At 38.9% G+C, this 27,985-nt stretch overlaps 1 long non-coding RNA gene across 1 annotated transcript in view, besides 1 other annotated feature; it reads left to right on the forward strand.

Moving 5' to 3' along the window:
* Positions 1–793: 793 nt before the first annotated feature.
* LOC105373454 (uncharacterized) overlaps positions 794–27,985 on the forward strand; it is a 148,852-nt gene continuing 121,660 nt past the window's right edge. The window contains exons 1-4 of the long non-coding RNA XR_001739302.1: positions 794–1,014; positions 1,279–1,544; positions 11,930–12,024; positions 18,184–18,292. This is a non-coding gene — a long non-coding RNA (uncharacterized LOC105373454). The remainder of the gene's footprint in view (positions 1,015–1,278; positions 1,545–11,929; positions 12,025–18,183; positions 18,293–27,985) is intronic.
* Positions 2,046–2,175: a silencer, noted in NCBI's record as "silent region_11195". NCBI's record gives its function as "represses an Ori minimal core promoter by ATAC-STARR-seq in GM12878 lymphoblastoid cells {active_cell/tissue: GM12878}" and the evidence as "EXISTENCE:reporter gene assay evidence [ECO:0000049][PMID:35858748]".

The following is a 27,985-nucleotide window of genomic DNA, read 5'->3' on the forward strand; positions in this document are numbered from 1 at the left end:
CACACAATAAGCATGAATATATTCTTATTATGGCAATGTTCTTTTTCCTAATATTAATCATATTCTGCCCAGTGTTTTCCTGAATTTTATGTTAGGGTTAGTCCCCACTCAGAACGGTTGACTCCTTCATAGTCTTCCTATTTCCTCCAGCCAACCACTGGAAAGCCATAAAGAGTAGACTTTGCTTGGATTGGAAAAGAAAATGTGATACATATGCACCATGGAATACTATGCAGCCATAAAAAAGAATGAAATAATGTCCATTGCAGCCACATGGATGCAGCTGGAGGCCACTATTGTAAGCGAATGAATGCAGGAACAGTAAACCAAATACCACGTGTTTTCACTTATAACTGGGAGCTAGCCACTGAGTACTCATGGACATAAAGATAGCAGCAATAGAAACTGGAGGGAGTGGGAAGGAGGGGGCAAAGGTCAAAAAATTATTGGGTACTAAGTACCTGGGTGACAGGAATTCATACCTCAAATCTCAGCATCATGCAGTATACCCAGGTAACCTGCAGGTGCACCCCTTTAACCTAAAATAAAATTTAAAAAGAAATAAGAGTAAAGAGTAGAATTAGCCATAGCAACAATAGCAGCAGTAGTGGTAATAAAGTGACAATTGTTCTAAAGAAAGTCTCAGAACAAATAGGGAGATGGGAGGAGGGAAATATCTCAGGCTGAAGCCTTAGGGAATAATGACAGTTTTGTGGACCAGGAAGCATTTTAGTTGAACTTTGATGAATGATTAGAAGTTTGGGAAATTAAGAGGGTTCAAGTAGACGGGGTGGTGGGTGTCAGTGAAGTGGGAAGCAGTGATTGGCTCCTTTGGGCTGGAGTTCTTGGAGTAAGTGCTGATAGTTTTGGGAAGATTTATCTGGAAGTGTAGCCCAGGGTCATACTGCAGAGGCGATGAGTTTCAGAGAAACACAATTCTCCTCTTCTATTTCCTGTAGGATCCCAGGGTACGGCTGCAAAAGGAGTCTGAGAAGATGACTTACTGAAATCAAGGTACTTTCTTAGTCATTGTGATAGTTAATTGTAGGTGTCAGCTTGACTGTATTCAGGGACACCTAGCTAGCTGGTAGAGCTTTATTTCTGAGTGTGTCTCTGAGGATGTTTCTAGGAGAGACTGGCATTTGCATCAATGGACTGAATAAGGGAGAGCCATCCTCACCTAATGTGGGGGCACCATTCACTCCACTGAGGGCTCTGATGGAAAAAAAAAAAAAAAAAAGGTAACGTAATGGTGAATTTGTTCTCTCTCTCTTCCAGAGCTTGGATGCCCTTCTCCTTCTGCCCTTGGATGTCAGAATTCCAGTTCCTCTGGCTTTTGGACTGTAGGACTCACACCAGCATTCCCTGTCCCTACCACCTCCACCACCCACCAGCTTTCAGGCCTTTGGCCTGAGACTGAGAGTTACACCATCGGCTTCCTTGGTTCTGAGGCCTTCATATCCGGACTGAACCATGCAACTGCCTTTCCTGGTTCTCCAGCTTGCAGTCGGCCTGTTGTGACACCTCTCAGCCTTCCTTACAAAGTGAGCCAATTCCCTTAATTAATCATTTCTCCTCTCTCTCTGTCTCTTTCTAGCTTATTGGTTCTATCTCTCTGAAAAACCTTGACTGATTCAGTCATCTTCCTAAAAGAGTTCAGCATTTAATAAAATCCCTCTAACCCACAGGCCTAGTCCTCTCTAGGCTGGTTGCATTAAGGGATAGAAAGTCTGGAGAAGACTTTCCAATCCGGTTTTGGGGGCGAGTCAATTGCATGCGTGAAACTGAAGTTAGCAGGAGAGGGCGCTGTCCCCAAAGCTTCAGGGCCTGCAGATGCTCAGAAAGAGCTGTCAGCCTGGTCCAGGCACAGGAGAGAAGAACCAGTGTCCTGGACGAGGGGACCCGGAAGTCTGGAAAGCAGCCAGTATACCTTGGGAAGGGTGGGCAGGAGGCGCAAAGGCAGTCCAGCAAGCACAGAGGGACTGTTGAGGAATATTACAGGGTGGGGCAGTTACTGGGGGTAGGAGGTGAGGGAGAATTGTTTGTGACCCACATTGCACAGTCACCTTAGAGTTTTCCAGAAGTGAGTCCTGAGAGGAGGCACATGCAATGACCAGCCATAGCCACTAGGGGGAAGCATTTGCTTGTGAAACCAACGACCTAACCGACCAGTAGCCAACTCAGATTCCTGTCACTATACCCTTGAACTATCCCAAGAAGTGGGGATTGACATTTTCTAATGAATTATAAACTAAGAGACACTACTGCTGACTCTCCCCAGGCTAGGATTCTAGTTTAGCCGCAGGATGACCACAACAGACAAACCTCGCATGCTATTTGCCCATGAGTGGTCGGTCACACCCTGGTGATTTGAGGTGCATCCCGGGCACGGTCTCAGAGGTCAAGGTCTCTGAGCCGTCTTCTTTACTTATTGGCTAAGGGACTGTCTTCCTCCTTTTCATCCCTTGGGGCAGCAACATCCAGTTGCGGTTTGAGAAATCTGAAAGGAGACAGACATAGGCCCAACTACTCTTGGGACAGCTGTTTTTGTTTGTTTGTTTGTTGTTGTTTGTTTGTTTTGGATAGCTGTTTAATGAATCTCAGTGACAAACTTCAACTCTTCGATTTAGTACATATCTTGGCTCTTAGGGAGTAGGGTTCACATTTCAGCTTTGCTGTTTACTAGCTACATGAACTTGGATCCATCTCTTAACTCTCAGGCCTTTGGTGTACTCATTTAAAATGTAATCACAGAGCTGCTGTAAAGGTTAAATTAGAACCATATATGTAAAGCATCAGCACATAAAAAGAGCTCCAATGTGAGTACCCTTTATTCTTTGAATGATTTTCTTAACCAATCAGCCTTCCCTTAACGGGCCCAGCCTGGTGCTGTTGCTTCCAGTTATCGAAAGGATTATTAGGTGCTTGTGCACATTTCAAGTTTCCTTGTGGATGAAGATCCCATAATTTTCATTAGAGTATCACCTCTCAAACTTCAGACATTTTGATACCAACTTTATAATTGTTGCTATGTCTGCTATCCATTTGCACTATTATTTATTAAATATTTTTTTAAATCAACTCTTTTTTAAAAAACTTAATTTTAAAAGGAAACTTTATGTCATTTTTATAACTGGAAAACTAGTGTCACATGCAATAAATAAAAAGGTTAGCATAAAAATAACCATTAAAAGAAACCAAGTGATTAAATAGTGCATTACATAAATAATAGATACACCAATCAATATATTAAAATATTCCTGAGGATCTGCAGCAAGCTGTACCAGCCCTAGGTAATTTTAATAAGTCATTTAATACACAGATACAATGATTAGTGCATTTCAATAATCAAAACAAGCTGCACCAGCCCTAGGTAATTTTAATAAGTCATTTAATACACAGATACAATGATTAGTGCATTTCAATAATCATAACAAGCTGCAAACATATTTGGAGTTGTAAATAAATAAATAAATTCAAATAAAATATATATCTACTGTTCTTTGATAACTGATTTCATCTTTTGTATATGCCCCTCTCTGGTCAATTCTGTTCATTTGCATAATTAAAGCTGCCTCTTCAAATAACTCTCTTTCTGGTCAATAATCCAAATAAACTCTCAGCTTTTGGGTGTTTTCTTTCTTCCTCTGTTTTTCTCCAAGCTGGTAGCTGAGTTTATGGCAGAGGGCTGTGTCTTTGTGATTTTGTGTTGATGGCTATGGGAGCAGGGTATCTGTGAGGTGTGATATCGACCCTCTGCTCTTCCTGATTGTAAAGTAGTTGCTCGGCTGGAGTCTGGGTCCACACTGCTTGGCTCAAGCCTCAAAGGCCTGACCCTGGCCTTTGCTCTGATCCCATACCTTTGCTGGCACACCAGCCCTTTCTTGATATGTCTGTGTTCCTTCTTCAGAACATCCAGTGCTTGATCACTCTGCTCTCCTTTCTCCCTTTTTTGCCCAATAATCGCCACAAAGGGCAGGTTCTCACCTCTTCCTCTTCCAGGCCAATTAGTCTTCCTTATGTAAAACCCTACATTGGTTGGATGCGGTGGCTCACACCTATAATCCCAGCACTTTGGGAGGCCAAGGTGGGCAGATCACTTGAGGATCAGGCGTTTGAGACCAGCGTGGCCAACACAGTGAAACCCTGTCTCTACTAAAAATACAAAACTAACCAGATGTGGTTGCATGCACCTGTAGCCCCAGCTACTCGGGAGGCTGAGGCAGGACAATTGCTTGAACCCAGAGGCGGAGGTTGCAATGAGCCAAGATTGGGCCACTGCACTACTGCCCGCATGACAAAGTGAGACCCTGTCTTAAAAACAACAAAAACAAAAAACAAAACAAAACAAACAAAAAACTCTATATTTAAGTCACCCAGGCCATGTTAAAGATGGGGTTTGCCATTAAATTATAGTTTTGAGATAGAATCAGAAGTTACCTTTTCCTTTCACTTCACATTTTTGCTATAATGGTTATAAATATCTTTGAGGCAAATGGAGATCCTTGGCAGATTGAAGGTTGATCAGTTCAAGAAACTGTTACCCAAGTGAGACTGGAGAAAAGACCACTTTTATTAATTATACATCAAGAGCTTTCCAACTTTTAAGGAGCATATCTCAAAGATCCAAATAGAAGAATATACTAAATTATATGCACATTAAGACTTACATGTGTTGCTGGGTTTCTTTTGTTGTTGTTGTTTTACTTGTCTTGTGTGTTTGGGGTGATTCAGGACACTGGATGTTCATCAACACATTACAAGGCGTAGAACTTTTTCTGCTTATCCTGTGACACACGACTGTAAAAGATCTTTGCAAAGAGTTTTGAAAATGGATAAATGAAGAAACAAACCTATGATCATGAGAGAAGAACCAGAAGATTTCAATACTCAGCCACGAATCAGCAGAACTGTGCAGAAGCAGGGGAGCTTCTCTCTGGAGGCCCCACTTCATGTCAGTCAGACTTGTAGGAAGGGACTTTATTTCATGTAGTTATATGGGAAAGATTTGGTTTTCAATCCATCTTAATTTAATCAAAAAAGGGCCTTTTAGGAAAAGCCATAACTCAGTTTGTGCTAAAACCAACTAATAGTTGAATCTGAGTAGAAAATAGAAGCCATATAGAATGTGTTACCCTAAATCAAAATTCATTCTTCATCTGAAGCCTGCAGGTTGTAAATCAGGAATTAAACTCATGTCAGTAAATCCAAGCAAATGCACACAAACCTGAGAGTTAGCACATCTGAAACAGAAGCTTGAAAGGCAAACCTGCATAAATCAAATCTCTAAATCAAAGCGGGAAACAATGATTTTTCTTGTCCTACAGAGCAGGAGAAACGAACTCTCTAAACCCCTGTATGCAGATAAAAGTTCTGGTTTTTATATAGCTTGATGTATTTATGTATGGAGGAAGCACAGCCTGAAATTAAGCAAGAAGAATGAAATATTGTAATGACCACTCCAGAGCAGCAGCCCAGCAAGTAATTCCACAGTCAAGTCATTAACAAGCACTTTGAGAAAATATGCCTTTAGCATTCAGCTGTTCTTTGCCAAGAGATGGCAGGGGGTGAAATGTTCTCAGAATCCCTAAAAGGTGTTTGTCAAAGAAGCTGCCCAGTGGTCAAGAAGGGAAAGGGCTCCTGCAGATTTGGCATGAAGCTACTATTCCTGACAGGTTTGACCGTCCACATCTTAAGAGTGATCTAAGTATTTGCTGTGCTCTGTATAGATCCCTACCTAGCTCAGGGACTCTGCAGTCTCAAGGAGGTTCTGGTGCCTTGGAATGTTAATGTCATATTTATAATGTAATTTTCTCTCATTTTAGAAATTTTCTTAAATCTAATTTACTGCCCAGGGTTTCCACAATCCCCTTATTAAGGGAGCCAGATGCTCAGATCACTGTGGTTTATTGATTAAATGTTAAAAAAAAACTATGTGCACAGAGAACTCTGTTTTGGTAAAAGGGCAGTGGAATAAGCCAATAACATTGCATAATTTATTTGCTTTAATTAAATTGACATTAAAGAAAAGTCTTACTATTTTCATGTAATACATGTTTGGAAGCTGGGTCCCCACCAGTGCTTCCCATGTTGCATTTAATTTCTGATTTTGAGCTGATCTATGCACACAAGTGTTTCTAACTTAAAATAAGAAACCATGTGTAACAGAGTATGAGTGAACACATAAACCACAGAGAGCATCTCTGTGGACACAGGTTGCTTATATAACTATGAAAAGGAGAGAGTTGAACATGGGCCTCTTGCTTACCCATCACAGACAAAAATCCTTTGCAGTACATGAAAACCAACTGCAGCTTGTTAATGATTCTTCTTTGTGAAGTGGCTTGTTTTGAAGCAAAGTATTCATCAAGTGCTGCAGGAACCAGCCCCAATTGCTACACTTAACACCCCTCCTAGAGACCTCTAAGTTACCTAGAGTATATGAAGAAAATGTTTGTTTAATTCATTAATTTAGTCAAAAAATATTTAATGAATACCTTCTGGTGACAGCCACTTTTCCAGGAGCTGGAGATATACCATTGGAAAAAAACTGGACAATTTTAACACCAGATCAACTTGATTTCCTGACTGAATCATTTTGGGCTAAATATCTTCTTCCTATGCAGATCAATAAACGTGATTCATCACATAACAGAACTAAAGACAAAATCCACATGATCATCTCAATAGATACAAAAAAGGATTTCGATAAAATTCAATCTCTTCATGTTAAAAACTCTCAACAAACTAGTGTTGAAGGAACAAACCTCAAAATAATAAGAACTATTTATGACAAATCCACAGCCAACACCATACGGAATGGGCAAAAGCTGGAAACATTCCCCTTGAAAATCAGCACAAGACAAGGATGCCATCTCTTACCACTCCTATTCCACATAGTATTGGAAATCCTGGCCAGATCAATCAGGATAGGGAAAGAAATAAAATGCATCCAAATAGGAACAGAGGAAGTCAAACTGTCTCTGTTTGCAGATAACATGATTCTGTATCTAGAAAATACTATAGCCACAGCCCCAAAGCTCCTTAAGCGGAGAAGCAACTTCAGCAAGGTTTCAGGATACAAAATCAACATACAAAAGTCACCACCGTTCCTATATACCAACAACTGCCAAGCTGAGAGCCAAATTAGGAACACAAACCCATTCACAATTGCCACAAAAAGAACAAAATACCTAGGAATACAGCTAACTAGGGAGGTGAAAGATCTTTTTTTTTTTTTTTTTTTTGAGACGGAGTCTCGCTCTGTCGCCCAGGCTGGAGTGCAGTGGCGCGATCTCGGCTCACTGCAAGCTCCGCCTCCCGGGTTCACGCCATTCTCCTGCCTCAGCCTCCCGAGTAGCTGGGACTACAGGCCCCCATTTTTTGTATTTTTAGTAGAGACGGGGTTTCACTGTGTTACCCAGGATGGTCTCGATCTCCTGACCTCGTGATCCGCCCGCCTCGGCCTCCCAAAGTGCTGGGATTACAGGCGTGAGCCACCGCGCCCGGCCGTGAAAGATCTTTACAATGAGAATTATAAACCACTGCTCAAAGAAATCAGAGATGATACAAACACAAATGGAAAAACATTCCATGCTTATAGATGGGACGAATCAATATCGTTAAAATGGCCATACTGCCCAAAGCAACTTATAGATTCGATGCTATTCCTATCAAACTACCAGTGATATTCTTCACAGAATTAGAAAAAAGCTACTTCAAAATTCATATGAAACAAAAAAGAGCCCAAATAACCCAGGCAATCCTAAGCAAAAATAACAAAGCAGGAGGCATTATGCTACCCAATTTCAAACTATACTACAGGGCTACAGTAACCAAAGCAGCATGGTACTGGTACAAAAACAAACACATAAACCAATGGAACAGAATAGAGATCCCAAAAATAAAGCCACACAACTACACCAATCTGATCTTATATGAAACTGACAAAAACAAGCAATGGGGAAAGGACTCCCTATTGAATAAATGGTGCTGGGTTAACTGGCTAGCCATGTGCAGAAGATTGAAACTGGACCTCTTCCTTACACCATATACAACATCAACTCAAGAAGGATTAAAGACTTAAACGTAAAACCAAAAGCTACAAAAACCCTGGAAGACTAGGCAATATCATTCTAGACATAGGACCTAGCAAAGATTTCATGGCAAAGATGCCAAAAGCAATTGCAACAAAAGCAAAAATTGACAAATGGAGATCTAATTAAACTAAAGAGTTTCTGCACAGCAAAAGAAGCTAACAAAAGAGTAAACAGAAAACCTACAGAATGGGAGAAAATTTTCACAAACTATGCATCTGACAAAGGTCTAGTATCCAGTATCTATAAGGAAATTAAACAAATTTACAAGGGAAATAACAACCCCATCAAAAAGTGGGCAAAGGACATGAACAGACACTTCTCAAAAGAAGACATATATGTGGCCAAAAATCATATGAATAAAAGCTCAACATCACTGATGGTTAGAGAAATACAAATCAAAACCACAATGAGATATCATCTCACATCAGTCAGAATGATTATTATGAAAAAGTCAAAAAATAACAAGCTGGAGAGGCTGTGAAGAAAACAGAACACTTACACAATGTTGGTGGAATTGCAAATTAGTTCAACCATTCTGGAAAGCAGTGTTTTGATTCCTTAAAGAGCTAAAAACAGAACTACCATTCAACTCAGCATTCTTATTACTGGGTATATACCCAGATAATATAAAACATTCTACTATAAAGATGCATGCATGCATATGTTCATTGCAGCACTATTCACAATAGCAAAGATATGGGATCAACCTAAATGCCCATCAATGACAGATTGGATAAAGCAAGCATGGTTCATGTACACTATGGAATACGATGCAGTCATAAAAAAGAATGAAATCATGTCTTTGCAGAAACGTGGATGGAACTAGAGGCCGTTATTCTTAGCAAACTAATGCAGGAACAGAAAACCAAATACGGCATGTTGTCATAAGTGGGAGCTAAATGATGAGGACACATGGACACATAGAGGGGAACAACAGACACTGGTGCCTACCAGAAGATGAAGGGTGGGAGGAGAGAAAGGAGAAGAAAAAAAATAACTATTAGATACTAGGCTTAGTGTTTGGGTGACAAAATAATCTGTACATCAAACCTCCATTACACAAGTTTACCTATATAACAAAACCTGCACATGTACCCCTCCCTGAACTAAAAGTTAAAAAAAAATTTTTCTTAATAATGCTCCACCTTGTAGAAGAGTTAAGTAATTCTTATTGTGCCTCTTGGGACATCTTATCCCCAAACTCCAACAGGTCCTTTTATTTGGTGACAGGGGGAAGACTCTTTATAATTCAGAAAAAAATTAAAATGCACAAATTTCATATACTAGGATAATAACTATGGAAAATAACATGCAGACAAGTGCTTGGGAAAAAAATTTTGAAGTAAAAGTGTTAGGATAGGGCAGTGATTTTCAACGTGTAAGCAGCAGCATCCTCATTGCCTTGAGACTCTTTAGAAATACAAATTATCAGGCCCCATCTCAGAAATACTGAGTCCAAAACTGGAGTGGCGGGTGCACACCAGTGCTTTAACAAGTCCCCAGGTGATTCAGATTCACCCTGGAGTTTGAAAGCCGCTGTTGTGAAGAAATGCTGAAAATTCTTTAACTTTTTTAAATTATATACTTATAAGTAGAGTTTTTTAAACAATGCTTGCAGAGTTACAGACATAAAAAAAGACGCCTCTATTATTTAAGGAAGATCTATACAGGCAAAATAGAATTGGTGGCAAAGCCAGTAATCTGAGATGTTTTTGGTTTAGAAAGTTGCTCTTTGTGCATCAGAAATGCCTGACTCAGGGAGTTATTGATCAGCATTGAACTAGGAGTTCAGACACAGGTGTTCCTATATCACGTTCTTGGGGCTGGTAAAACATAGTCTCATCTTAGGCTGATCAAGGCTTAAACTATGAAACCTGGTCCTCTGCCAGCTTGCTGATGGAATTAGAGAGAACCACTGAAAGAATCAATCAGCTAATGAGATTTTATACAACAACTTCCATGTGCTGGGCACCCGGCCTGGTGCGGTTGGCCGGGAGGGGATGGATAGGATACGGTTCCTCTGACCCAGAAGTCACAGACAATTTAAGACTTTCATCTTTGAAAAAAAGCACTCTGCACCCCAGGCTTTGTGCAGCTGGTGCAGGGTAACCCCTCAAAGGACACATCACAGTGGCCTGGGGCAGTCAGAGACAGCTTCCCAGAGAAGGTCTCATAGTTGGGCAAGGGGTTGGTAGGAGTAAACCATTTGAATATGGTGTGAACGTAGAAAAATCCATGGCATGTTTGGGAGATAGAGTTCTGCCTGCACAATTTAGTAGTGGGAGAGAAGGCTGGAATTGTCTAAGCCAGATGGAAGTGAATATTAGATCATAGCCCAAGCACAAGAAAGAATCATTGTAGATTTTTTCACAGGGGCATGGTAAGATGAAGATGGAGGTTTAAGATGTCAAGTTAAAAATAATTGTCTTCATTTTCCTCCTATGCCACACTAGGTTAATCTAGACTTCCTAAAGCAGTCATGAGTCACTAAGGCTGTGAAATGGGTCCATTTGTCAGGAAAGAGGGAAGGTGACAACAGCTAAGAAAACGTGGAACTGCAGGCATCCCAGCCAGAGCCTGGCCCCAGAGTGAAAATGCACACGTGTGCTGCTTGAGGATGAAAAATGCTTTCCTTGGCCCATCCATCATCATCATCAGCCTCGGAGACAGTTCCCCCGTCCAGGAAACATTTCTCTTGAAGGGAGAGGCTGGGCCCTGGGGAGGCTGTGGTGCCCAGCCCTAGCCTCTGGGTGATGGATGGTCCTGGGCTTCCCTAGGATGAGTGTGCAGAATGGCTGGAGGAGCGGAGGGCAGAGAGTCTTTGCTTCTCAGCCAGCAGCAGAGAAATGCAGGCACAGCCTCCAAGTCACAATGAACATGTTTGCCTCATTCCACTGGGAGCTTCTGGAAGGTGGAATCAGCTTCCTAACCTTGTTAACGGTACTGTCTACAAGCCCAGCACACATTTGGCTCTCGGTTAATGTTTGTTGGATGAATGTATGAGTCTAATAGTTGGAACACAGAATGATCCCCCATCTCCACCCCTGTGCTTAAACCGGAAACTTTAAGAGCCAGAAGTGTCCTCAGACATCATCTAGTCCAAACATTTATGCGAAGATGGGGAAACTATCAGAGAATGCATACAGTCCCCAGCAAACTAGTGAAATTGAAAATTAGTATCATATAAGTAATACCTTGTTTTCTATAACACCTGGACTTCTAAAAGACTTTTGTTTTTAAACTGAGGCGCCAATAAGAATTGCCTCTTCCAGATCTCTGTGTAAATTATCACCTTATCAGTGAGGCCTTCTGTGACTGTGCTATTTAAATAACACAGCCCTCCTATACTCCTAACTCCTGCCTCTCAACATGGCATTTCTTAGTTCCCTTCCTGATCTGCCTTCCTCCATTTTTCTCCATAGCACTTATCACTTTCTTATATTCTGAATATTTTATGTGTTCACCTTTCTATTGTCTGCTCCAGACTCCAAGAATGTGAGCTCCATGAGGGCAGAGGTTTTGGCCATTTTTATCACTGTTCTGTCTCACTTATAACATGCCTGGTATATAGCTGGCATTCCATACACATCTACTGAGTGAATGAAGAAAGTAAATTAATTTTCCAGAATGCAAACCATCCCCTGAGAATCATGGTTAATGATGGTTTATTTATTTAATGTGGTGATTGTACCATTACATTGATTCCTAGAGGCTCTGGCTAAAAGCCCTACCCTGCAGGGCGTTCTCATGATAATGAGAGAGTTCTCATGAGACCTGGTAGTTTAAAAGTGTGTAACACCTTCCTCTTCACCCTCTTCCTCCTTCTCCAGCCATGTAGGACATGTCTGCTTCCTCTTCACCTTCTGCCATGATTGTAAGTTTCCTGAGGCCCCCCAGCCATGCTTCCGGTACAGCCTGTGTAACTGTGAGTCAATTAAACCTCTTTTCTTTATAAATTATGCAGTCTCAGGTAGTTCCTTATAGCAATGTGAGAATGGACTAATACAGTCTTGTGTATTCTTCTGAATTATGATTCTAATGAGTGCTGAGTATCGCACTTTAAAAATATATCACATTTATTTAATCATGTCATTGCACGTTGTTAGGTGTATATGTTGATTTCAGGGATTTTTTGCTAATAAAAATAAGAGTGCAATAAATGCCCTTTTATGTACTCTTTGTGTACACCTCTGGTTTATTATTTGGGCTTAAATAATACAAGTGTAGCAAAGGATATGAATGTTATTAAGCTTTCAAAAATTCACAACATCCTCTCCAACTTTCCTTGAAGAAATTATAAAACAAGGTTTTCATGGAGTGCCTTTAATTGCTGGTTCCTGTGTTTAGTGGCTCTTTAAAGTCCTCGCAGGAACCCCTCTTACTACTGTCCCTTCAGGATTTGCAGATGCTCTTTCTCCTGTGCCTGGGTTGGAATGGATGAGAGGATAAGTTAGAATACAGACAGGGAACACAAAGTTTCAAGAAAAAGTTATTAGAAAATCTAAAACTACAGGGATTTAAATAAAAGAGAAGGATGTTTCCTTTTCATGTAAAAACTTGAAAATAAAAAGGAGGCATTGCCATTCTGTAAATGTGGCTTCTAAGATTGCCTTAGCTGCTACAAAATTTTAGATAGTAGAAAGGGCTAGAGAACCCAGGATAGAAATCCTTGAGAAGATGATTTGAAAGTTGTACACATTGTTTCCGCTTTCTTTTCACTGGCCTGAAATTAACTCATGGCTGCATCTGGAAACAAGGAAAAATTATCAAGTCCTATTAATCAGATGTACTGAGTATGGTTATACCTCAAATCTGTCCACTTACCTCTATTTCTAATGCCATTTCTCCCTTCACTCCCTCTTATCTCTTGCTTAGATCAGAATAACTACTTTCTAGTTGGCCCCCTCATTGTCAATCTTATCTTCCTCCAATCCATCCTCCACAAATATAGGCAGAATAATCCTGTTGAAATATAGACCTGGTCACATCTCTTCTGCTTTAAATTTTAAATGGCAGATTGCTGACTTCACAGAAAAGAAATTCAAAATGCCAAACACCTTCTTTTGACATTCAAGGCTTTTCTTTTTGACCCTAACTCTCCAGCCTTATATTGCTCAAATGTCTGGGATGCAGCCAGGGTGCACATGTTTGGTCTTTTAAGGTGGAAGAAATGGAAACTAAAAGCTAAGTCTTAGCCAACTTCCCTGGGACATGAAGCAAGACAACACATGTGTTTTCGATCACTCTGACAAAGTTCAGCATTTGTCCTCTCTTGACATAAATGTGGAATCTACCCATTTTGAGACCTATGGTTGCCCAGGGCTTCCAGAAGCCTAGCTTTTTATTGTTTAGGCCTTTTTGGAATTTTAGAGATTACCTATTAGGAGACATGCCTCCCATCAGAGTTCATTGCTGAGACCAGGATGTAGACCTGACCTGTCCCATGAGGCACTTTCACAGAAAATGGAATAGGGTTTGTGTGTATTGTTGTTTTACATGCAGGGCTCTGGTATTATTTCAAATAAAGAGGATTCTAATGGCATCAACTGGAAAGAGCCTTCATACTGCCAACAAATGATTCTGAGTAAACAACTATTCCTCTTTAGGCCTCAGTTTCCTCATCTGTAAAATGAGGTTACGGGGCTGAGTTGATCTCAGAGGTCCATTCTAGCCCAAAAAGAAGGTCAGTTGGCTCATTCAATACTTATTTCTGAGTCCCCACTATGTGCTCAGAACTGTTCTATGTGTTGAAGATACATAGTTGTAAAAAGATGGACAAAAAACCTAGGTGAGAGTTGGGTGGTCAGATAAATGTAAATACGGGCAAATAACATGAGGCTGCCATGTAGAGAGCTGTTAGAGGATGGTGTGATCAACACAATGGGCTGTCTTTGAGTGACATTTGGCTAAGAGGTAGCCCTGTCAAGGTCCAGGCATGCAGAAAAACCACGAGGAACACTGAGCTTTGTGTGTTTCATGAAATGAAAGAGACTTAGAGTATGAGGTAAGGTTACAAGTAGTCCTAAAGGAGGAAAGAAGTTGGTCCAGGGCCAGATGAAGTAGGATATTTACACCAGGGTACGAGATTGATCCTAAGTGCTATCAAATGTCTCTAAAGAACTTTACGGTTGGGACAGACATCGCTTATTTAAGTTTTGAAAATATCACTCTTGGAATTGTATGGAGTATGGATTATGAGGAAGTGGAAGTAGATGGGGATGCTATTTAAGAGGTTATTACAGTGGTCCAGGAGAGAGATGGAGGGACATGAATTAGAATGGCATCTTTGGATGGAGAAAGTAATGAACAAATATGGAACCTGCTCATGGAATGTTTGCACAGATGAGTAAAAGAATGGTCAAGGATACCAATTAGATATGGAGGAGTCATTTACTGAGATAATAAGGACTGGGTTTAAGAGAATGAATAAAGAGTTCTTTCTTTTTTAACTTGCAAATTTTGAGATACCCATTACACCTCTAAGTACAAAAGTCAAGTAGGCAATTGAGAGATTTCATTGCTGGAGAGATAAGTGTAGAAGCCATCAGCAAAGGGATAGTTTTGCAAACTGTTGACTGGATGAGATTACCTAGAATTTATATGCGACTATAGGCTCTATATAATCACCAAAACTCAAATAGAGAAGAGAACCAGTCAGTTAGCATTGGGTATTCTTTCATTTAAAGATTTGGTGGAGGAGAATAATTCAGCAAAGGTCACTGACAAGGAGCAAGGTATGGGGTGGGGGCAAAATCAGCAAAGAGTGGCTTTACGAAAGTAAGAACAGAAAAAAGAGTTTCAAAAATTTATTTATTCTGAATGCTTCTGAGAGGTCAAGGCAAAAACTAAAGAAGCTGTTGGATTTGACAGCTCAGAGGGCATTGATGATTGAAAACCGCAGCTTCAGTGGTATGGCAAGACAGGATCCCAGTTAGAAGAGATGAAGGACAGAAAGTGAGGTGAGAAGGAATGAGGAGAAAGAAGTTAAGAAAATCGTTCAAGAATGACAGCAGATATGAGGTGTTAGCCCCATGGGGATTTGAAGACAAAAGACAGTTTTTTTTGTTTGTTTTTGAAGATGGAGATATTATAGTGTGATTCTAGGATGATGGAAATGATGCTGTAGAGAAAGAAAAGTTGATGGTGCAGGAAAAAGATTAATTACAGGACTGTCAAGTAGTCAATGGAGATGAGATCCAGTGCACAAGTCAGGGTGTTGCCCTCAGACAGAGACAAGCACACTTCATCCCAGGTGACGGGATGAAGACAGGGAGTATGGGCACTGATATAGGAGGTTGGGTGGTTTGGGTTGTGGGAAGATAAATGAGTTCTGCTGTAATAACTTTCATATTTTAGTAAATCAGGAAACAAGTCATTAGCTGTGGAGAAGTAGATGGGAGAGCAGGGCTACTAGAGGTAGAGAGTCGAGGAGAGCCTATTTCAGAAACTGGGAGATGAAAGGGATTGATCATCTCTTCTCATTGTTTATTTACAAATAAAATCAACAATGTATTCAGGTTCTAAAAACCTGCCTTGTCGTTTTCATATATTACATCTAATTATCCAGTCACAATCCAAAAAGGAAGATGTTACCTTCACTTCAGCAGGATCAGATAACAGCCAGATCTTGTCTCTTTTCAAGGTCCCTGCTTTTCTGAAGCCTCATTATCAAGTGAGAATGCCCGTGAGAGTTATCAGTTCACTTCAGCAGGCATTTCCAAACACCTATTATGTGCACAGCCTACCTCTATTCCTCCCGTGACTTCCACTTCTCCTATCGCTAATTACTCTTGAAGACTCTAAGCCCCAGAAACAAAGCAGCCACTACAACACAGTTGCTCCTTTCAAATAGTTCAACTTAAATGAACAGGCAGACGTGTGCTATAATCATAATGAGCTCCAGGAATGGTGGACAGAGCCTTCAGGGAGAGTCAGTGGGAGTGGCCAGAGGAAAATACTGCAAAGCTCTAAGTCCTATGGATGCTTGGGCCTCACTAACTTTCTTCTAACTTTGTAGCCCATATGTAGAGGCTCAGCACTAACCTTCCCTGGTCTTCCCCACTGATGTTCTTACCCCACCCTTTAGGGAGAGACTTTCCTGAAAGCTAATTCAATCAACATACTCCCCTGCCAAAGGCCTTCCAATACAATTTCAAACCCAAATTCTTTAACTGATTATGACATTCAAGGCCCTGTATGGGATTTCACCCCTTCCCATCTGTCTCTTCTATTTACTTTATCTTCACACCTTTTCTCTCATCTATTGCCCCCACCATCACCCCTTCCCACATACTAAAACCTCCAACCAGGACTACTTGTAATTTTTGCATCCCACCAATTTTCTCTAGCTTTGGGTCATTTCCTTATATTGATCCTCTACCTGGAAGACTCTTTCCTTCCAATTTCCACATAGCTACATTTTCTTTGTTCTTCAGGACACAGTTCAGGTGCCACATTTTCCTGGGAAGTCTTTTCTTGCTGATACCACCCCTTTCCCCCTCTCCTTTCTCTTTTCTCCACCACTGAGAAAAGGACTAATTCTTTTCTCCATCTAAATCTTAACCCACTATATTCAAATTATTTGTATGTCCATCTCTTCCACTGTATTCACAATTGCTTGATGCCAGTTATGTATTGTATCAGTTACCTGGTGTGGTACCCAGCATGTAGTAGGAGCTCAGTATATGCGTGAAGAATAAAGAATAAGTGAACAAATAAATAAATTAATTAATGATTATAGTTCTTCCAAAATAGCTCTGTATTCAGAGCCTCCATGTCTTTGAATATGCTAGTCCATCTAATAAATTCCTCTTTTCCCTTCTCCACCTTTTTCCAAGTTCACCTGGCAAACTCCTGTACTTCTTGAGACCTGAAAAATTTGTGTTACACCAAAACAAAGCCTGCTCAAAAAAAAAAAATACAGGTCTCTTAAAAAAATATTGCCTTATTATAAACTAATTATCCCTGGATCGTTTGGTTTGGGATCCTTGGAGAAACCTGGCTTTGTTAAAAGTGGTTTTGGACACTGAGTTTCAGTCCTTTTGGGCTACTGTTGCAGAAGTTTAGATGTGCATTCCAGAAGGTCAAGGATCTTTTAAGTGTCAGTACATACTTCCCTCCCCCAAACCAATCGCTCCCTTGAGAATATTCTATTTTACAAAGCATTTTTTTTAAAGCAAACCTACACTTCTGGACCAATTCATCTGCAATTTGCTATACTTCATAGGGCTCAAAGCCCCCACATGCCTAAACTACTAGGAAAGATTTCTGGACACGTCAATAAAAGTATCCTAATGAACAACAGCTGCAGAGAACATGTCTTTAAATAAATTGATTCCAAATTTTCCTGAATGTTTCTGTGATTTTGCTTCTTAAATGGGCATCACTGACTTTAAACTTGGCTATCTAAAAAAGCTGAAGGAAAATAATTATCCATTGTTGCAAAAAAAAATTTTCATTGTCTTGCATTTCTTCACCATTCTTTGAGGAAACCAATGTACATTCACACCAATTACTTCACCTCTGCTTGTAATGGCTCTTTGGAGCAAACTTAATATATCTTTCCTATTTTGCATTTGTGGAATTGCATGGGGTACAGAAAGTTACAGACTCATCCAGATTTGGGATTGGGATTAGAACTCAGGCCTCCTAATTTTGAGGATTACATTTAGAGTGTGGGCTCTCTTCTCTTTGAAAACAAAACCAAAAGTCTCTTTCACCAGCAGAGAACATTTATAAAGAGAATGTCTGTGTTATACCATGTTTAGTCTCCATCAACTTTGTGTTTAAGATATATTAATAGTATTTGGTTCAAAGTTTGTGTTCAATTACAAAATGAAATGAGATCTGAATTTTTTTCTCTAAGAAGTACAAAGTCACCAATTTATTCTAATATGTCAAAATTTTATATAAATCAAATTGAAACTTTCAGTGATATGTAAAGTTTATAAGGAATAAACTTGTTTTACTAGTCATCAGAAAATAAGGAAGTAGCACTTGGAAGAGGATTGTGAGAGATGCTCCCATATCGGGTTTTAATAACCTCACAGATGGTCATTTTTTTTTTTTTTTTTTACTTACACAGGAGGCTAGAAATCAAAATTTGGCTCTACAGGCCCATGATATTCCCTCTCTGATCTACTTCTCTGGACATCTGGGTTTCCTGTGGATTGCGTTCAATCAGCAATGTTGAGGTAATAAATATTTCACCTTCCAGTTCCCCTTTTTTATTCTTAGTATATAAAAGGAGAGAGAGCATGGTAGATTCCTGTCTCCAAAATCTTCCTCCTGTCACCTCGCACATATTGTCCTTGCTGTTAGAAGCAGCAGCTTGTGACATTGTTTTGCTAGTACAAATTCATGGTAGTGGGAGGTAGGATGGAGGGAGGGAAGGGTTGAATTAGGACCCAGAAATTGTTGAACAGAACAAAATGAAAAGCTGTTCTCAATTTGAAGAGTGAGTTGACGTCTGCTACTCTGGTATGCAGTAAAACATGTTTCCCATCTAAGACATCATAAAAGCTGCAAGCATTTCACACTGCACATTAAGAACAGCATCTTTAAGGGAACATCTTTTCATATAGAGCACGTACAGAGTTCTCTATCTGATGATCCTTTTGAACATTTTATCATTACAGTAGAAGAAATACACCACAATCATGGCAAGCCCCAAATGAACTGACAAAGCACCTTTGTAGAAATGACTGTTAGGGGTATATCGATATTTCATTTTTCAGCTGTTTCCATAAATATAGCATTTCTGTACAAACTGTATGCAGAACTGGGCTGCATCATTGGGAAAGCGTTAATAGAGTAGTTGGCTTCCATGATATGCAGAGGACCTAAAGAAACCTCTTTAAAGTGGATGAAGAGGTTGAGGTGATAGTGGGAGGGAAGTGGGAGTGGAAAGCTTGTTCTTAATGTCTGTAAATTAAGACAAATGCTTGTTCATGAGCATGAAGTCGAATGGTAAAGGGGTTGGGGAAAACATACGGTCATAGAGCTGCCAGTTCCCTGAACGGGCCATTTACATTGCATCCTATGTAAATGGCACCCCCTAGAGGTGTACAAATGTAGTGTCCCTGTTGAGAAGAATGCAAACAATTTTAAACATCCATTGAGTGGAATAAGAAAGATGAATGTCGAGGAAGACATCTTTTTCCTGCTTCTGCCACTATTTGTTTTTAAAGTTCCTACTTAGTTTCTTTCTCTGACAATTCTTTCTTTACCTGTTCCTTAAGTATTCGTGTTCTCTTGAGTCCCTTACCAGACTCACTTTTCTTTGGTCCTTCATACTCGTTCTGTGCAATCTCATCCACCTGTAGAGTTTTAACTGCTAACTATATATTGATGACTTCAAACCTTTATTTCAGGCTTGCCACTCCAAAGAAGTTCAGCTCTACAATTATCAAGACTATCTAGGTCTATTTGGATATTCCTTGGGTCCTATCCTCAGTATTTCCTAAATTAAACTAATGGTCAATCCCATTAGCCCTGCTTTTTACGTGTACTTCATCATCACTTTAGTTTAGTCTGGAGACCCAGACTACAAACTTGGGGGTTTTCCTAAGCTGTTTTCTGCCCTGTACTCTGACTATCTGATCAGTTATTAGGCCTAGGAAATTCTTCATGTTTATGCTTTCTTCTCCACCCTCCCGCACACTGCCTTAGTTAAGGCCTGCATTGGGTTTTGCCTAGCTTGTATAACTGCCTGGAATTCTCCAATCCTCTTATGACTTATACATAGCAGCATCTATGCTTAATGGCTGGCACATCACTGGAATTCAATTATTGTTATGAACCAGTGACTAAATTAATGCTGTATGCATTGACTGTTGTGCCCTTGATGATTTCATAACCCAGAATATTCACCAATAATTAGATAATATTCATTCAACATTTGTTTTTTGAGCACCTGAGTAAATACAATCCCTCTCGGCACCCCCGTGTTATATGCTTCCTTGTAGAAGATGTAGAACATTTCATACAGTGACCAGTCCTGCACACATTTAAATATACAATCCACGTTAAGAATTCAAAATGGAAAAAAATAGAATAATGACTAATATAAGCAATAATTTGAATGACAAATTAAATTTTGGGTAAAATAAAACCAAGGCAGTCCAGAGACAAGAGTTTCTTGTAGTTTAATGTATTCAAGGAAGGTTCTGTGGAGGAGGCAGGATGTAAAGGAAAGATGGGCCTTGGTGAAGAGCGGTAGAAACTCTTTTCTACCGCTCTTGTTTTGAGGAGATTGGCTTCAGCCAGAGTATGAAGACAGAGGGTTTATTGCTGGCACCATTACTAAAATGGGGCAGTGGAAATATGTATGTTGCGTGTTGGAATAGAAAGATTAAGGAAAGAAGAGGCAAGAAGGCAGATCTATAGTTGAGACAGGTTTATTGACAGTAAATCTGAGAAGGGCTTCTGGCTGGCAGGGTCAGGAGCAAACTTTTCTTACAGCCTGAGGCTTTTTTAAAGGGCCAGGTGGAGAAGTGTGCTTTGAAGCAAGATTCTGTTAGGGAGGGGTTGGGAAAGTGCTGGCTGTTCTGTTACAGTTAGGGCCCTTATGTTCTGTTGAAGCTATGGTCAGCGTTGACATTTGCAGTTTGGCCAAGTGTCAACAGACAGTTCTGAGAAATGGAAACTTGATACTTTAAGATGGTGCAGTCTCGTTAAGATGGTGATATTCTTGTTCTATCATTGAGAATATTATAAAAATAATGATGATGCTGTTGTGTTTGGGAAGTGCACTATGGTAAAGCTAAAGGGCTCTGGTATTGGATTAATTTGGCTTCTAATCCAAGCCCAGTACTTATTAACTGTGTGACTGAAAAACCTCCCTAAACTCTCTGAATTTTCATTTTCTTATCTGTTTTTACAATTGATCATAAATGGCATTTAAAACTGCCTATTAGTTTGCACTCTTCAAGTTAATAAAGTGATTTTATGCACAAGGATGCATATGTAAAGGGTGTTCATTAAAACTTCACTAATTAAAGTTGTGCCAACAATAATGTTTTCAACACACTAACAGATTTGGTTATTTAAAGAAAACCTGAGTATGCTATAAAGCTAAGAATCTGTTTTAAAATTAAATAATTTGATCAGAATTTTGGTGTTTTTTTAAATTTAAATGTTTTGTTGTTTCTCTAAATTACCTATTAAGGAAAAACTCTCTGCATATTAAAGTATACTTCCACCTACACTATACTTTACATGGAAATATATAACTTATTTTTCTCACAATTGCTTGGTCAAAGGAAATTTTGCATCTCTTTTCTTTGGAATTCATTTTTTAATTGAGATTTTTTAGCTTTAGAGAATGTAAGAGTGGTATGGTATAAAGAGAATGGGCCTTAGATCTAACAAAATTGCATTGAAATCCCTGCTCAATACTTTTAAGTTCTGCGACCATGGGATGTATTATTTTTTTTCTCATCTCAGTCTTTCATTTATAAGATAGCAATAATACTATCATTTGCATAAGACAGTTATGAGAAATGATTGAGGCTGCACATGGGATGGTGCCTGCTGCAGGCGCTCCTTTAAGTGCTCATCCTCTCCTCTTCTAAACACTTGTGGACTCTGTGGACACCCAGACGCAGAGAAGAACCTCAGTGCGGCTCATCCCAAAAACAGTCTGGATGTTCACTTAACATTCACACACCCCTTCTGGAGAACCCAGTGACAGCCTGTGCGAATGATGTGATGTTGGTGGAAAAGAGAGTAGATCCCTTTAATATGCTATGTTTGTAGGTTTGTTTATTTTCTTAAATACAAGGCAAATCACAAACTTTACTGGATGACAAGCGATTTTTATTGAACGACTATACAACAAAAATTATACAGTTTTCTCTTTAGGATTGTCTTTGGCTCCCCAAAAAATAAAGTACACCAATGCAGGTCATTTCCAACATAAAAGTGCAAATAGATAAGAGTGTTCTGTTTAACATAACAATACCAGCATTTGAACATTTTGAAAACCATATTTTATAAAAAAATAAATTAATTCAAACAGATCATTTCCTATGTTAAACCCATGAAAAGATAAATTTGTAAGGAGATCTACTACCTGACCAGGGCCTGTGCACCAACAGAGAGGATATAATGCCTTATGGATGAAGCTTATTTATCCTTGATGAATTTTTAATTCCAGAAGGAAGGGTAAACAAAAGAAGAAATTCTAAAGGCTAATCCAGAAGGACAGCAAAGTATAGGCTAATTGTTTCCTTGTTGTCTCAAGACTTTAGAGTGTTCATTTATTTGATTTGCCTTGTTAGGTAATTTTTGGCATATTTTCAGGAGAAATATACATGAAATATATATATGAGAAAACTACCTTCCATGTGTTCCGTGGCGCCAGAATATATTGGTCAGAATTTGAATTCTTTCTTTCACTTTCTTTTATGCTATTAGTACTTATATGGAAAAACAAGCAAACAAACATAAAACAACAGCAACAGGCCGAAGTAGGAATTCAGGTTACAAGACAAAGACTTCAATTTATGGTCAGTAAGTACAAAAATCCCTATATTCCATCAGTTATTACTGGCTTAAGATTTATTTTAAAGTTTAACTTACATAACAACTCTGCAACAAGCATTGCTATTTATTGAGTGCAATATTAGTCACGAAATGATTACTTTGAGTATGGTGTCCTGGAGCTGGTGCTCACTAGCTCATGAGGACTAATTATGCACATCTTTTTGCAACTCCACATTCAGTAATGTCACATTGGTAACTTGAAATTGGCCATGGTGGGAGTATTTACACCATGGAAATTGGCAAACACTACAAATCAGGAATCATTTTTCAGAGTGCTGATTCTTAAACATTTTCCAGAATGTCATTGATTATTGCTCTAAGAAAGAAGCCCAAAACCTAAGTAGCTTAATACAGTAGAGTTCTATGTACTCACTCAAATGATTTTCAATGTGGGGATTTGGCAGGCAGCCTTCATGCAGTGCTTCGGAGCCCAGCATCTTTCCATCTGTGTGTCTACCAATCCCAGGGCCTTGGCGTCCTCTGCTGGATGTCTACATCCAGCTAGCAGATGGAGGAAGAGAATGGAAAATAACACAAGAGGTTTTCACAAGTCAGTCCTGGATGTGCTATATGTTACTTCTGTCCATTTTGAATTTTCAGTCCTTGGCCACACATAAAGGAAGTTTGGAATGGTAGTTTAGATTTATATTCCAGAGGAGAAAAATAGTTTGTAAAATAACTAGCTGGCCTGTATCATGAGTACTTTACAGTGGTCTAGGCACAGTTGCAAATATCTGTGAATGTAAATAGTTTATAAATCTTTGTCCACAAAACCCTTTAAGGTAGTTACTATTATTATTCATATATTATAAACAAATGAGCCTCAGAGTGATTAAGTAACCCTTTTGGCTAGATACCTGCTAAGTGGCAGAGATAGGACACATCTCTATGAGTTGATACACTGAACCTAGAGCTTCAATAGTAACAAGATTTACTGGAACCAGCCATTTTGAAAGCTGCTCATATTGACCTTACAGGATAATTCCTGCCAAAGGCAGATCTGAGGATTATGCTTAACCTTCCTGCCAATAATAAACTGCCAAACTAGAAACCTCAACTTATTTGTTGTATAGGGTAAGAAAGAAAGAAGGAGGCAAATATGGCCAAAGGTTTGAACTGTCCCATTGTTACTGGAAAGGCAGTGGGCTTCTCAGAACATCTTTTATTTACTATAGGTTTTAATCTCACTGTTCCTGGATCCAAGATAAGATTATAAGCTTGGCTCTTACCAGGCATGAGACCCACAGCCTAACGAGAGCCTGAGAGCTGGTTTAAAGATGGAGAGCATGTATTGGAGATGAGAGGAGAGAATAGGGATATATTAGAATACAAACTTCATTGACATGACAATTTCTTATGATGTCTATTTCTGAAATGCTTATCCTAGTAGAGTTAACGCAGTTTTCTCATAACATCCATCCACTGAGTCCTTTATGTGCTTCAGACCTCTAGAATTAGAGCTACACTCTGTAGAAACTGATTGTGTAAAAAAGGAAAAAATGGTTAGCAGTAATGCATGAGAAAAGGATCATGAGCTTCAGAGGTCTGTAGATCTGGGCCTGAATACTACTGCAACTTATATCACCACCACCACTAATACTATACTTCCTTGTGTTTACTGAGCTCATATAATGTGCAATGCATAGTTTTGAGAACTTTGGACCATTATCTAATTTAATCCTTGCAACAACTGTATGAGGTCAATATTACCCTTATCTCTACTATACAAACAAGGAAACTGAGGCATCAAAGGCTTAATTAACTTTCCAAAATTTACATAGTTTATAAGTGGATAATTAAATTCACATAAAACATTAAGCATATAGTTAATAGCTGATTAATCTGAACCATGTTAATGAACCTCTATTAAATGGGGTTGAAATACCTACATTCTTTAAAGATAAAACAAGACAGAGAAGTACCTTTGAGAGTGCCTGACACATAATAGGCGCATGATACATGTACACTGTTTCTCACTTGATTGAAATAAATCCAGACAGAAAAAAGTTTTTTTGTTTTGTTTTGTTTTTACAGTGGCAGACATTGAACACATTATTCCTGATAGAGGTTCGAGCATTTTTGTAAAAGGAGGAAAGGAGAAGCCTAGGAACATAAGAATAACTCAGTGGCACATGGGGAAGAGGGCAGTCACAGAGCATCAACTACTGAGGCTTCACCCAGGATATAGAAAGGGTCTCACACCCATGGTGACAGTGACCTGGCTCTCAGCATAACATTAGAAGGTGCTTCGTCTCTGAGGTTCTTTGTCAGTTATCAATTTATTACCTGTCAGCTTCAGATTTACCCTTTGTTATCTGCTTTGCAAAAATATAAGTAAGCCTTTTAAATAATTACTCCCCCTGCTGTCTGGCATGATGTTAAGTTTTTGTCAGTAGGAGACATGGAAAAGTCCTTCTAGGAGGAAGCAATAGTCTTTTCTAGTTCTAGTGTGCTCTCTCAGCAGACTCCTGCAGCATGCCTAGGTCATGCAGGACACACAGCTTCCTTAGTGCCTGGCTTCTGCAGTGCATGTATTCTCCAGCAACAGGCTCCTGAGTATGCACAGTTTCCCCAGCACCAGGCTCCTGCAGTGCACAGCGTCCCCAGCACCAGGCTCCTTGAGTATGACAACTTCCCCAGCACTTGCACAGCTATCCTCAGTACTCAGCAGCAAGTGATTTTGTAGCACAGTGTCTCAGGCAAACCACCTTTGCCCAGCACCCTAGAGGATAGATGAGTATGCGTGGCAGAACTTCTCTGCCATCCATAACCATGCCCTCCACCAAGGTCTGGATCTCAGCCCTGGGGCAATGAGTGAGAGGCTCTTGGTAGGGTTCTCTCTTTCAGCCCTGAGGATAGTGGTTGCTCCTTAGCTCTTCTACACCTGTGTTCTGTAGCACACTCTTTACCTCTTATTAGCCAATCCCTTACTACTTTAACGCTCTGTTATAGCTAGTAATTTTTATATTAAACTTCCTCTGTTCAAATTTCCACATAGTTCCTGTCTTGTGATTGGACCCTGACTAATGCAGGTACTCACTGTTGTCCTTACCCAGGTGGTGGCTAAAGGGGCTCAGGACTTATTCCTAGGCCAGTAGCAAAGACTTTAGGCTCAAAGCAAAGCCACAAAGCAAGTTAATCCATGATATCACTGGAAGCTTCTATAACTTCCTGAGTTCAAACACTGACATTTTATCTTCCCCAGGAGAAGGGGTGAATTTAGTTCTATTTCTCAGGGTGATTGGAATGTTCTTTGTCTAGTGTATGTTTCAATACTAACTTAGATTCATCTATTTCTTTATTAGAAGAAAGGTCCTGAGAAAGCTAGCTTTGTAGATGAGGAAACTTTCTAAACAAAATTTCTGTGGTCGAATGGTATTAAAGTGTCCTCTATGGGCTCTATAATTCCAGCTGGCCATGTCTTTTGGCCAGTGAGAAAATCTGGCTTTGTATTTCAGTAAAATGTTGAAATTAAGTTGCTTTTAACTAAGCTTGAAGTTGGAAAATATGATCATACTGAGTAAGTAAATCACTCTAAATAATGGTCTGAATACCTTCTAGTTTTTCATTTCTATGGCACTGAGATAATCCATATAGGATTTCTTGGCTTTTGCAGTAGTGAATATGCCAATGTACTCTGATTAAATCACTGGAAAATGTAGAGAAAATTTCTCCTTTTGGAAATAATTGTATTAGGTCAGATTCTCATCATAAGAAATTTCTTGGTAAGAAATTTAGAAAAGCAAAACAGAAAAATCAAAAAGTTTTTTTGCTCTGTCTTTAAACTCTAAGTACATCATTCTATGTAATCTTAAGGAATGGTTGCGTAGAAAATGTGAGAAAATATTTTTCAGATAGAAACTTGATAGGGCTAAATAGAATAAGAACTTAGTGTATTGTTTATAAACATGCACATTAATGTAAAATATTGTCATTGTTGGAGGAATATTTATGGTAACTCAATTAGAGAAATTACCATTCGCTTATAATCTTTCTCTTTAAATTGAAATATTGGAGTGTAATTTAAACTTTGGAAACTTTAAATTCTAGCTGTTCTGTCATTACATACAGAACAGCTTTCCCCCAAAATATTTTCAATTGGAACATTTTTAAATTTCATCATATAGTAATATCTAGGCTTTTCCCTATGCCCATTTCATTCTCTCAGTGAAAGATTGTCTGCTTTAGGAGTAAAAATAGCTCTTTCAGGTCTCATTACTACTAATAACAATTTTTTAAAATAATGTTAAACACAATGCTACATCTCAATGTAATGTTACTTAGTGCAAGGGCAACGCCTTGCAAACCTCAGAAGAGCCTAGAAAATAGCAGAATCTAAAATTTTAAGTTATTAAGAAAATACTAGATTATAATGAATGAGATTATTCTAATGAAGGGACAAAATATATAAAGCAATTTTAGAAAGATTTATATTTGAAATAATGATTTTTTAAAAGTTTGAACCCTATAACACAACTCATTCCCTAATGGCTTTCTGATACCTGAGATTTTTCCAATTAGCTTAAAACATGACATTTTTAACTATCAGTATAAGTCAATATAGTTACTGTTTGTTACGTATTTGCTTTAAAATAAGTTCTTTATACATATTATCTCACTAAATATAATTTCTAGTTTCTTGTTTGGAAGTTGAAGCAGAGAGGTTAAAAAATTTCCCCAAAACACATAGTTGGTAAGTGATAGAAATGGAATTTGACATAGAAATATATGAAAATATGCATATTTTCACTATCCTACATTGCTTTTTCCTGATTCTAGGGTTAATATGAGTCATCATGGAACATAGTGAGTAATTTGGTACTATAAAGGAATTTGCTTGTTTTTTTTTAAAAAAAAGGTATTTACATTTCAAAGCAACCAAATTAGAATAGAAAGAATTTTTAAGCTTCTTTTTTAAAGGAGAATTTTCAGTTCATTATTTAAGAAACTTAATGTATGTTTTCATTTTAAGTCAAAAAATATTCCGATTTAAAGATGTATCGCCTTGTCTAATGTAGTTATGAGCCCTTCTCAAAACAGTCAGTCTGGAAGCCTGAAGAAATCGTAATGCAACTTCCAAAAGTCTCTAACCCTACTAGGGAGTAGCTTTGGCAGTAGGAGAATTTGGCTCTGCAGATTTCAGCCAAGACCCAGCCCAAGAAGTCAATTAGCTAGGAAAGATTAAACATCTGAAAATGTAAATTATTAGTTCAGTTGCAACTCTATGTGTTACATGTGTAGAAATGCAAAAACACATTTGTTCAAAGGATTTATCATTAACTGCCACATTGGACAGTACGAATACTTAGATATGCTTGCATAAACACATGAGTCACCTT

The sequence above is a fragment of the Homo sapiens genome, chromosome 2, assembly GCF_000001405.40.
Source record: "Homo sapiens chromosome 2, GRCh38.p14 Primary Assembly".
NCBI classification, from domain to species: Eukaryota; Metazoa; Chordata; class Mammalia; order Primates; family Hominidae; genus Homo; species Homo sapiens.